Source organism: Homo sapiens, chromosome 3, assembly GCF_000001405.40.
Source record: "Homo sapiens chromosome 3, GRCh38.p14 Primary Assembly".
Taxonomy (NCBI): domain Eukaryota; kingdom Metazoa; phylum Chordata; class Mammalia; order Primates; family Hominidae; genus Homo; species Homo sapiens.
In genome coordinates, this window is record NC_000003.12 from 128,073,033 (window position 1) to 128,085,047 (window position 12,015).

The 12,015-nt window shown below is 53.7% G+C and overlaps 1 protein-coding gene, 1 long non-coding RNA gene and 1 pseudogene across 8 annotated transcripts in view, besides 3 other annotated features; 1 reads left to right on the forward strand and 2 right to left on the reverse strand.

Annotated features, from left to right (window-relative positions):
• RUVBL1 (RuvB like AAA ATPase 1) overlaps positions 1-12,015 on the reverse strand; it is an 89,130-nt gene that overhangs the window by 8,248 nt on the left and 68,867 nt on the right. For 2 of the 7 annotated variants that reach the window (XM_017007357.3, XM_017007356.3), the window contains exon 10: positions 9,451-9,542. The exons of 3 other annotated variants lie outside the window; for them this stretch is intronic. In XM_017007357.3, coding sequence (XP_016862846.1) covers positions 9,451-9,542 — 92 coding nt within the window. Of the gene's footprint in view, positions 1-7,777; positions 8,378-9,450; positions 9,543-12,015 lie in introns of those variants that run through there. 2 more of the 7 variants (NM_003707.3, NM_001319084.2) reach the window with 2 other exon arrangements.
• On the reverse strand, positions 2,044-2,217 carry RNU2-37P (RNA, U2 small nuclear 37, pseudogene; annotated as a pseudogene).
• Positions 2,435-2,484: a silencer, noted in NCBI's record as "silent region_14699". NCBI's record gives its function as "represses an Ori minimal core promoter by ATAC-STARR-seq in GM12878 lymphoblastoid cells {active_cell/tissue: GM12878}" and the evidence as "EXISTENCE:reporter gene assay evidence [ECO:0000049][PMID:35858748]".
• Positions 2,495-2,934: a silencer, noted in NCBI's record as "silent region_14700". NCBI's record gives its function as "represses an Ori minimal core promoter by ATAC-STARR-seq in GM12878 lymphoblastoid cells {active_cell/tissue: GM12878}" and the evidence as "EXISTENCE:reporter gene assay evidence [ECO:0000049][PMID:35858748]".
• RUVBL1-AS1 (RUVBL1 antisense RNA 1) lies at positions 2,778-6,024 on the forward strand. Its single transcript, NR_046645.1, has 2 exons — positions 2,778-3,047; positions 5,707-6,024. It is a non-coding gene; the product is annotated as an RUVBL1 antisense RNA 1 (long non-coding RNA).
• Positions 4,276-4,375: a silencer, noted in NCBI's record as "silent region_14701". NCBI's record gives its function as "represses an Ori minimal core promoter by ATAC-STARR-seq in GM12878 lymphoblastoid cells {active_cell/tissue: GM12878}" and the evidence as "EXISTENCE:reporter gene assay evidence [ECO:0000049][PMID:35858748]".

Consider the following 12,015-nt stretch of genomic DNA (forward strand, 5'->3'; position numbering starts at 1 on the left):
TACAGGTGAAGAAACTGAGGCCCAGGGAAATAGAGTGTGGCCAAAAGTCACTTAGCTCCCGAGCCAGGACAAAAAGCCTAAGGCTCACTTCCTACTCCAAGTCCCTGTCTGGCTGCTGGTCCTGCCTGCAGGTACTTCTGCTAGGGACGTAGCTGGGGCAAGGAATGAGGAGTCTAGGGAAACAGGCCCCACCCCCGGAGCTTCCCCTTGCTGCCCTTGGCTCAGGGGCAGCACCCGCTTCAACTGGCACTCCGCTCCATCCATGGTGCTGCTTTACCACTGCCTCCCTGGACCTGCTGATGCCCTACCCCATACCCCGCCCCCAGCCTGCTCCTGCTGAAGCCAGGCCAGCATGAAGTCCTCAGGAAGGCTGGGATGAGCCTCCCATCTCATTTCTGAGGGGTCTGAGCCCCATGGCCTGGGGAAGAGCAACGGATTCCTGATGAGGGCCAGGGGATGGGCATGTGGCACTGTCCGAGAGTCAGCAAAAGCCCCAACCTGAGCTTCAGCACCTACCAATGCCTGGTTCTGGAGAGCCAGGTGTGCCCCTAAGTGGTAGTGCCCACCTCACTCCCCTGCCCCAATCCCTTCTAGGGCCACATTACCCACTCCTTTCCACTCAGCAAACATTATTGAGCCTCATGGGGAAATGGAACAGAAGGTGCCTCTCCTCTTAAAAGCTCATGCCCCAGCAGTAAGGGTTCTGCAGTGTCTGTCAAACCTGTGGGCCTTGTTCCCTCTGCTGTCTGCCTGACAAGCTCCTGTTCATCCTTCAAAGCACAGCTCAATAAGGCTAGAAACATCTAAATGCCCATCGGAGGGGGCTGAATAAATTACAGCAGCTCCTCCCTGTGGAAAGGAACTAGGAGGACATTCTTTATATGTTGAGTTAGAAGAATCTCCAAGATATGCTGTCAAGGAAGAATACAGAAAGCAAGAAACAATAGCGTATGCTACCATTTGTGTTTAAAAGGGGGGTAGGAAGTGACTAATAGACTACATCAGGAAAAGGTGTAGCAATTTCCCATAAAACTAGACATACACTTACCCTACACCCAGCTATTCTACTCCTGGGTATTGAAACCCAAGATGAAAATATATGCCTATACAAAGACTTGTACAAGAATGTTCATAATAGCTGAAAAATAGGGAACAGCCTAGGTGGCCATCAACAGGCAAATGGATACATGTGGTGGATCCACAGGGTGGCATTTTACCCAGCAATAAAAAATAAACTATCCATACACACAACATTCAGGAGCTCAAAAGCTAAGTGAAAGAAACAAGTCATGTTGTATGATGCCATTTACATGAAATTCTAGAGCAGGAAAACCTAATCTATTGCAAAAAAAAAAAAAATTCTAACAGTGGTTGCCTCTAGTGTGTTAGAGATTGGCACAAGGAACTTTCTGGGCAATAGTAATATCCTTCACTGGGATTTGGGTTTCATTAGTCAGAACTCATGGAGTGCTCCACTTAGGATTTGTACATTTCACTGTATTTTTAACGTTTAAAAATAACCATAAGCAGCCGGGCACAGTGGCTCATGCCTGTAATTCTGGCACTGTGGGAGGCCAAAGCAGGTGGATCACCTGAGGTCAGGAGTTCAAGACCAGCCTGACCAACATGGAGAAACCCCATCTCTACTAAAAACACAAAATTAGCTGGGTGTGGTGGCATGCGCTTATAATCCCAGCTACTTGGGAGGCTGAGGCAGGAGAATCACTTGAACCCGGGAGGCGGTGGTTGCAGTAAGCTGAGATGGCGCCATTGCATTCCAGCCTGGGCAACAGGAGCGAAACTCCGTCTCAAAAAAAAAAAAAAAAAAAAAAACTTAAAAAACCATAATCAAGTACTGAACTCTAGATAATTATACACATGCTTAACTATTTACAGAGGTTGTTGTATCTGCAACTCACTTTGAAATGCACAGAAGACTGACAAGACTGACTGGCAGGCAGACAGGGGGATGGGCAGTGCAGTGCCTAGATGACAGGGATATGGGGGCTCACCTGCAATCCTTTTTTTTTATTCCCCCAAAGGGGGTGCACTATTCCTGGAGGTACTGCAATACCAGGTGGATGCATGGAGTGGAAAGAGCAAGGTCCTATTCCATCTCCCTGCTCCAAAAATCCATTTAACATACTGTCCTCAGATAGCAGATATTAAAGTGATAAGAACACTACACTTGATCTTAGCCAAAGGCTGAGAGGCGATTGCCTGTAATTCTTGCAGTTTTCCATGTGATATGTTTCATAATGAGTGTTGGGAAGGTCCTGTGAGTGTGTGCTGCCTCACCCAGGTCCTGGCCATCTCTAGAGGAACACACCGGTGTAAGGCAGGCGCTTCCGGAAAGGGAACAGGAGGCAGGGGGCAGGTGTCGAGGTAGGTTTTCACGGTACACGCCTTTGGCAATTTTGCATCAAAAAACTAAGTGTATGCACATTTTTTTTAATTGAAAGCCCAACTCAGCCTTCCCCCACTGCTCCTTCCCCGCATGCACGGGGGGACACACGCCTTCCTCCCTGCCTGCCGGGACTTCAACCTCGCTTGCTGGGAAGTCGCGCACTTTCGTCGCGACTTCCCAAGTCGTGCTGGGTGTGACTTGGAATCTCGGATCCCTGGGCTAGGCCTGGCCACGCCCCCATGGGGGGAGGGGCAGCGCGGCGGGGGCGGAGCCTGGGCCCGAAACGCCACGGGCGCGACTCTGTGCGCGTCCGCCCACACGGGGGCGCTGTGTCCTCGCAAGCTCCCGCGGGGTGCCTCGCGGCCCTGGAACGCTGTGGTTTTCGAGGGGAAAAGTGAGAGTGGCTGGTCCTGCCTCCGCTGCCGCTTGGCCCTGAGATCCCCACTGCCCACGGGATAGGCCCCAGTCCACCCAGCCGGGGCCCCCCCCTTCCCCTCGTCTCGCTCTCCTTGGCAGTTCGGACTTCGGGTCAGTCCCACACTCGCGCCCGGCTGTCCCTGCTGCGCTCCTGTCACTGGCATTGGGAAGCCCTCCGGCCCCCTCTCTGCACACCTGGCACACGGCTCCTCCCTGGCGGCATGTGGGTATTTGGGTTGGGCGAGCCTCTCCCTCCCGATTCCCGAGTTCCGAGTGGGTCCCGGCGGACCAGCGCTATTCTGGAGGGGCAGTGCCTCAGAGGCAGGTCGCTTCGAGTGGGGATTTGTGCGCTCTGGCGCGGAGGAGGGGGGTGGGAAGCCGGCTCTTGCCCTCCTCACCCGGTGGGGAGCGAGCAGGGCCAACGGTGCGCTGAGAGCGCTCAGGGCGTCCCCAACAGCATGACCCGACCCAGGGACGAAGCTCTGGGGGACGGGACCACTTGCGATGACAGCTAAAGGAGCACAGGGGGGCGGCCGGCATGGAGAGGCGGGGCCGGCATTCCTGCGGGCCTGCCGGGAGGGTGGGGAACCTGGGATTTAGCCATGGGACCTGTGGAAGGGTTTTGGGTCGGGGTCCTGACCGTCTAGTCTGGGTTCTCAAAGATGGTTGGGACAGTGGGCAGGCTTGCAAAGACCGAAGAGGCTGGTGGACCTGGTGGCTGAGGCCTAGGCCAGGCAGGGATCGCGGTGGGGAGGTCACAGTAGGTGTGGTCCCTCCTCCCCCCACCCCTCAGGCCTAAGTCACTCAGGCCCTTGTGTCACGGTGGCACCGGGACCTCCACCCACTACATACACACGCGCGCGCGCAGCCCCGTGAAAACCTGCGCCGTGTGCCCCAGACCTGCAGCCCGCATCCCGCCGTGTCCCCCGTTCCCTGCATGCGGCTCCAGTGTAAGTGCAGCGTGCCGTGTGCGGCGTCCCAGCCCGCACCCCGCACCCCACCATGTCCCTCTGGGTGCGGGGTCCGCATGCCCGCGCCCTCCCCGCAGCTGCCGGCGTCCCCATTAATCACGCGGCGCTGACGGCGCTGATCTGCGTGCTGGCGGCGTGACGGTGACGGTGACGGCGGGTGACGGAGCGGGCAATCGGCAGGCGCCCATCGGCCCATCTTATCGCGGCGGCCCAGCCGCCGCCCGCTGCGCGCCGCCCATTGATCGCGCCGGGCCCCTGCCCGGGGGTCAGCGCGGGCCGGGCCGGCCTGACAGCCGCATCCGTCGCCGAGACGCGCGCTGATGGCCGCCCAGCCCGCACGGCCTGGCCATTAATCACCGTGCCTGCCGCCAAGTGACGGGAGGGGCGGCAGGGCAGCAGGGGACGACAGGCAGCCCCCGTGGCCGGCCCACCCCTTCACAGTTCCGGGGCCCTGCTGCGTGGCCCGCCCTGCACCCTAAGCTCCCCAGCCCCCCTGCCCAGGCCTCCCTCACCCCCTATCCTCTTATGGCCTGCTCTCCCCAGAACAAATGGAAGGGGAGTGGCTGCATACTGGAGGAAGCAAGAAAGAGGAACTTCTGTGTGGAGAATGAATGGATGACCACGGATGAAGGGGGTGAACACTGTTCTACCTCCCGAGGGACCTCTTTCCCAGACACCAAATGAGAGCAGGTCTGACCTGACAAACACCAGCACTGGCTGGGACAAGGGGGTGGTCATTTCGCCCCCTCTGGCTGCCTCAGCCCTAGCTGAGCCTCACCCAGGATGGGATGCTAGGGCCCCAGTGAGAAGCAGTGCGTTGTTTCTGGCAGTTGCCCCGTGCTACCCCCTCTGCTCTTGGGCTGTGTGGCCCTGAGCCAGTGCTGGCCCCTCTGGGCTACAGGGCTTTTTCCAAACACAGGGGGATCCTAAGGGTCCTTCCAAGTGCCAGCTGTCTGCGATAGGGAGGGGCAGGGCCTAGCAGGCTGCTTCCTCCAGTTTGACAAACTGTGACCTCTTTCCAAGTGGGCCAGGAATCAGGAACTCTTTACTGCCTCTTAGTCTCTTGGGTACCTGATACAGCTACATGTGGGTCACTTCACCAAGTCCTCACATGGGTCTATGGGATATGAACTTCCCACTCACACACCAGGAAACCAAAGACTCATGGGGCTAGGACCAAGGGCCACACAGAGGAGGAAAATGCAATCAATACCATGCCCTGCTGAGCCCCAGAACCCCTGGGTCCCCTCCCACTGCTCCTCTGCCCACAGCCCTCCAGAGCAGGGCCTTCTTGGGGTACCCCAGCTGCTCTGCCCAGGGCTGGCCAGTTTCTGAGGGATAGAGGTCGACTGGGAGTGCAACCCCAGCCCCCTTCTGTACCCCCATTTTATTACACAAATGGCTAAGGTTTGCTAACCAAGAAGTCACTCTCTGGTGTGACAGCATGATTCATTTAGTCCTAAAAAACAAACTATCCTACCAATCAATCTGGCAGGTGCAACCCTAAGACATGTGGCAGTAAGAAGGTATCTGCACTGAGAAAATGAGGCAGGGCACAAGGTGGTTTCCCTGCCAGGGCCAGGGACGCGTCTTTCAAGAGCCCTTCCCAGTCTCACAAGTATCTCTGGGGCCATTAGCACAGGAGACAGGGCGCTGGGATTTATGTGAAAATTCCTCCCTCCCTCTCCTCAGCCACCCAATCAGCTCCCTGGGTGGCACCCAAGAGAGCCTGCGCTGAGAGCCTGGAATATTCAACCACTTCCGATGACCAGCCCCCACCCTGCCTCACTTTAATATTACAACAATTTTTCACACTGGAGCTGAAATAGTGCAAAAAATGAGGCTGCTGTAATTGTTGTTAGATTGTGTGTCAGCCTGATAAGATGTAACAAATATTTTCCTCCCCACCAGGGTCTGTTTCCCTCTTAGTAATGGATGGAGAAACTTCTCATAGTTGGTGAGGGATCAGTCGTAAAAACTTCGCCCGGAAGATTAATGTAATAATCACAGGCCTTGCTGGAAAAAATAGGAGGAAAATTAAAATAATCCCACCTTCCTACCTATCCAGAACCATCTCCCTCACTTTGGAGCACAGACCAGCGAACTGGGCCATCTCTCTGGGTACCACCTCAGCTAGGATATTTGAGGGGCAGGAACCAGGGGTCTGTGGCCTAGGAAGAGCAAGACCACGGTCCCCTCCTCACCTGGCTGATCTGGATATTGGTACCTTGGGCAGCCGAAGAAGACTCTGTCCCCACCCGCGGCTGTGAGATCTGCTGTCAGCGCCACTTCCATCTTGCTCCTTAAACAGCATGAAAGGCTTGGAGCCCAAGTGAGAGGCCCAGCCAGGGCAGAGGCCTGGTTCTGGTCCTCTAGGTGGGTCACCTTCCCCACACCGGACCCCGCTTCCTTCACCTGGCTGGTACAAAGGTCAGATCTTGACAGCTCCTAGCTGCTGCTAAATGCCAACACAGAAGGAGGCAGTATGGCCCCCAGGAGTTAGGAACACAGGTTCCAAGCAGCCTGATTTCAAATCCTGGTTCCATCTCTCACTAGCTGGCCAAGGGACTTGCCTCCTCTGTGGAAGTGGTCTTGGAAGTGGGCTAGCACACCTATCCCAGTCTCACAGGCTACTGTGAAGGCAACATGGAACGCAGAGTGTGAACACAGTCCCTGGTGCAATAAGCTCTTGCTGCATCTCTCTTCTGTTTGTCTAACATGGCTCGAGTGGGGAGGCTAAAGACAAGCGCAGCCTCAGAGGACACTGGCAGCCGGCATGGGCCACATGCACAGCTGACTTCATGAAGGGTCCCACCACCACTGCTGTGCATGCCAGTGTCTCCTCAGGGGCCAGGCCGAGGGAGAAGATTCACTCTGGCAGCAGGGACGGCTGGGGCCTCTCAGGCTAGATGGAATCCCCAGCATCATCTCCGCCCCCTCCCACTGTCCCCTTGACATGACTACAGGGGACTGTCCCTAATGGAAGGACAATGCTGCTTGCCCCACAAGGAGCTCATAGTTAGTCTGAACTAAAGCACTGGACCAAGATGACCATCCTAGTCAGCCCTGCCTCCCATATCATTACAGCACGGAGATCCAGTCTGAACTAGCACAAGGAGCAAGTGCTGGGAACAGCGTCCGGGTACTTAGCCCCACCTCAGGCACCACGGAGCCAGCAGGGAAGGACAGGCCTGGCAAGGGCAAGAACGCAGCTCTCATCCTACTGGGAAGGCACATTCCAGTAAGGTGCACTGCCCAGTGCTGCACTTGCCCTTGCTGCTTACTTAGTGGGCGAACGCAGAGATTCGGCCAGAGAGATAGGGACACTTCAGAGGGACACTTCAGAGATAGGGACACACGAGCCAACTGACAAGAGCTCTCACTGGCCAAAGCTGGCTCAATTTGAGCAACAAAATAAATCTACTAAAGTATACAATGAACTTCCGTAAGTCCATTCTGATACAATCTTCCATGCAGAATCCCAAATAATTTTGGTAAATACTCAGTTCTCTAGAGGTGAGCATAACCCCTGCCACTTAAGTGTGGGCTGCATATAGTGACTTCCTTCCAAAGAATTCAGTATGGAAAGGCAGCAGAGAGTAACTTTACAGTGAGAAGACCCGACAAACATGACCTCAGCCAAAGGGTCAAGCTCACCATCAACGATGAGTCATGTTGCTAGCATGTGATGAGAACCACACATGATACGATGTGATCAGAACCACATTTCACCTCTAGTCTTCCTCTCCATAACCCACAATCCCAGTCTACTCATGAGAAAAGCATCAGACAAACCCCAACTGAGGGATGTTCTACAGATACCTGATCAGTCCTCCTCAAAACTGTCAGGGTCATCAAGAACAAGGAAAATCTAAGAAGATGTCACAGCCAAGAGGCATCTAAGGAGACATGACAACTAGTTGTAATGGGTTATCCTGGATGGGATCCTGGGACAGAAAAAGGACATTAGGTAAAACTGAGAAAATGTGAACGCAGTAGAATAATGCATCAGTATTGGTCATTCACGGTGACAAATGTGCTATCTGATGTAACACGTTAACAAGAAGGGAAACTGGGTACAAGATACATGGGAACTCCCTATTGTATGTTCACAATGACTCTGTACATCTAAAACTGTTCTGAAAAGTTTATTTTTAAAAAACTTAGAGAGAGAGAGAGAGAGAATCAAAATAACCTATGAAGATTTATAGAAAACACACCAGGTAAGGAAGGGTTCTTTCAAAGCAACCACAGGAACAGTTACGATAACTTAAAAAGAAATGCTTTCCACACTGAACTGACAGCGCTGCAGACCACGCCTGAGTGGGGACGGCAGCCCCAAGCCCAGGGGCAAGCGCCCACAGGCTGGACCCAGGCCAGGCACACCTGGGGAGTCTCTTACTGCTGAAAACCTCAGCCATCTCACTTCATGTACTTATCCTGCTGGTCAGCCAGGATTTTGGCGGAGGACTTGGCATCATAGAAAAGTTCACTGATCTCTTCGACATGCTCTTTCTCAATGCTGTCCTTCCCGTTGATTTTAGCAAGCAAGTTGGCCGGGGTCAGCAGCTGCACTGAGTACCTAGAGTGGACAGGGGCCAGGGCTGGAGTGAAACTGGGGCCACCGAAGAAAGCACCTTCCCCCCACATCAGTAGGCAGCACTGGCACCAGGAGCAGAGCCCAGTGCTGGGCTTGTGCCAGCTGCTACGAACACAGAAAAGGGGAGACAAAGTTGTCACTTCTCAGAGAGCTGCAGTCATTATCCCATCAGAGAGGGTCCAGGAGCCACCAAGAAGACATAAGTGCTATTCCCCAAATCTTTAGTACAGTCTACAAATCCTCCAGTAGGAAGTAATGTCACTGCTACTGGAAAAGGACTGCAAACTTATATGTATACAGGTGTCCGACAGATAGGGATATTTAACATGGCAGGGAAATGAAAACATAGCCAGCTGGAAGTACATGCCCATCCAAAGGCATGAAGACTCTGCCGTTTTAAAAAGTACCCCTTCATCCAAACCTCACAGCTTGCATTTCTGCCTTCAACCTCAGGAGCAAGAACTGACTCAAGGGATGTAGGGAAGGGCTGAGGACTGTGAAGCAATGATTTTACAATGAGTCAGGCCACTGTGAAGGGACATGCTCTGCCGGTCCTGTGTTTGAGCCGCTGGAGAACAATTAGGAGAACTGTCTATGTCTGCGCTCCTCCCTGGCTCTCCATATCCACCACCCAGACATTTTTTATTTGCTTGATGGTTAAATAAATCAAAAAAGTTAAAGATTTACCAGGCCTCATAACACCACCGGGAGAACAGGAGCCAGGGCCCTGGCTAATGAGCTACCACATGGTCCCTGCTCTCTAGTTCTGTGCATCTTCTCTGCCACAAGAAGGCCCAGGGTCAAAGCACTCTCCACCAGAGGGGAGCATCTGCTGCAGGACATGGGGACTTCACCCTTACTCTAGCTTGTTAAAAACCATCAGATAGATCCTCTGCATTTGAAACTCAAGTGCCCTGGCACCCATCGCGCCAGGAAGAGCGGATGGATAGAGTCCCATGCCCTAGGAAGGGACCTGCCTTTATTGTCCAGAATGACCCCAGCGAGGGCCCTGGCTGTGCTGGGGAGGCCCCGGCGGGCCCAGGGTACCAGCTCACCTCAGTGTGGTCTTGGTGCCAATCTCCCCCAGGTGGTTCAGTGCCTCCTCACTGATGTTGATTCCTTCCGTCTGGGCACGGATTTTAATGATCTTTTAAAGGATAAAAAACATGATCAACGGTGACTGACCTCAAGTGCCCCATTTCTAAAGTGCTTTAAAGACAATGTTGCTCAGATTTCTCACTGTGCAGCATAAGAGAAACTGAGACCTGGGTTGGTGGGCAGGGAGCCAACGCCTGCCCAGCACTGCCGGCCCGGCACCCTCCAGGAGGCATGTGCGGCCCTGCAGTATGCATGAATAGCATCACGGCCAGTGTGCTGTATTCAACTGACTCAAGTGTGGCTGGTGCCCAAGGAGGTATGCAGCTTCCCAAGTGGCTCACTCTTGCCTCCATGTCCTCCCGTCCCCTGTCCCCAGGCAGAGAACTGGGGCCTCTTCTAACCTACCCGGGGCTCCTGCAAGGGCTCTAACCTTCCTCTCCAGCATGGGCACTACTGCCTACAAGCACTCAGGCAAGAAGGGACATTTTTTATTTGCTTGATAAATATGATGGTTAAATAAATCAAAACAGTTACTTTTAAAGATTTACCAGGCCTCATAACATCACCGGGAGATATCTAATCTATCAAGAAGAGGCTGACGCTTGTTGCAGTTTGAAGATCTTGGTAGAGTTGGAGGGGAGGCAGGCTGGCGGCGGGGATGCTGTAACACGGTGGACCAGGATCCTGCAGGCGTACCAGCACTGAGTGATAAGGGGCAGCCAGGATAATGATGTTGTGTGTTGTGGAGCTGAGATAACTGCAGGACTTCGAGCCGCATATAATACAGGAATTTTTCACTTTGGCAGCTTCGTAAACAAGATATCAAGAAGCCCTTGTTGAAATTAAAGCCATAAAAGCACACCCAGTGTAGAGGCACAGGAGCTGGGAAAGACTGAGTCCCAGCTTCAGCCTTCCAGGAGGGAGGAGAGCCAGAGGTTTACTGAGGTGGCCACATCAAGCCTCGCCTGTCAGCTCTCCAGGCTGGGACCCTGCGGGCAGGAGCTGCAGGGGGAGCCCAGTCTCTGATGATCGCGGTTGGGCTTGGGGGACAGCACATTGGCTGCCCACAGATGGGAAAGGCCTTGGAAAGCCCCAGCAGGACAGAGCGGCTGCGATGAGCCAGGTGAGGGTGAAATGCTTGGCCAGCAAACACCCTGGGGAGGCAGCCCCTCCACCCGCGGCCACCACTGCTGCAAGGTGTTGTCTGCAGTCTTCCCTTTTCTCAAGACAGGCTCAGAACTCAGATCCTTGTACGAAACGTCCTGATTTTGGCAGGACACAATGGCTCACGCCTGTAATCCCAGCACTTTGGGAGGCGGAGGCAGGTGGATCACCTGAGGTCTGGAGTTTAAGACCAGCCTGACCAACATGGCGAAACCCCATCTCTACTAAAAAGACAAAAATTAGGTGGGTGTGGTGGCACATGCCTGTAATCCCAGCTACTCAGGAGGCTGAGGCAGGAGAATTGCTTGAACCCGGGAGGCGGAGGTTGCAGTGAGCTGAGATTGGGCCGTTGCACTCCAGCCTGGGCAACAAGAGAGAAACTCCATCTCAAAAAAAGAAAGAAAGAAAGAAATGTCCTGATGTCTAGATGTCAGCAACTTGTTCAAACATTTCACAAACACTGCATAGGCCACATGAAACGTATCTGCTGGGCTCATGGGTGAACTGCCAGGGTGTGAGCTCCACTGAAACAATCTTAGCTTATGCAGGAGGGGCTTCACTGTCTGAAATCCAAAGCTAAATGCAGCTGGGCAAAAAGGGGCCCTCTGAAGTTACTGGATGGTACAAGGACAACCAAGAAAAGGAGCTGGGAGGGACTCACAACAGAACTCCCCCCTGAACACAGCTTCAAGGTAAAAACGGCTTCTCACTCACAGCTGGGACTGAGGAAACCACCAGGTCTTGCCAAGAAAAATGTCCCCAGATGACCTTCTGAAACTCCAGGGAGATGTAAATATTGAATCCTGGAGCCTGGTCATAGGAGACAGCTTAAGCTAAGTGCCTCGCCTTCAGTGAGATGCACTGAATCTGTGGCTCAGCTTCCAGAATGTCAGGGACACTCTGCTCTCTCTCTCTCACTAGAGAGAGCAGCAGGTCAGAGCAATCGTGAAAGCGTCTGTCTCAGGCTGCTCGAAAATGGACAGTTCATAAATGAGATCTTTAATCATTTAATAACCTGCAGGGATAGTTTATGAGGGTGTCGGCTTGGATTGCAGAGTACACAAGTTACATTGAGTTTGTTTAAAAACCTAGCCCCAGGCTCCAGTAAAAATGCTGAGGTTATCGCCTGGGCCAGCGGGAACAAAGCCACGAGTCCTGAGAGAAAGCCTGAGGAGAGGCCCTCCTGACAGAGCCAAGACAGCCCCAGCCCAGAGTTGGCCTGGCAAGTCACTGTCCTAGAAGCACAGTACAGAACATTCCAGACTGTTTGGGCCAGGAGCTCTGGGTTCGAATGGCGGCAGCAAGGGTGAACTAGCTCTGAGTGGCAGTCCTGGCTCTGCTGCTTACTCTCCACATAG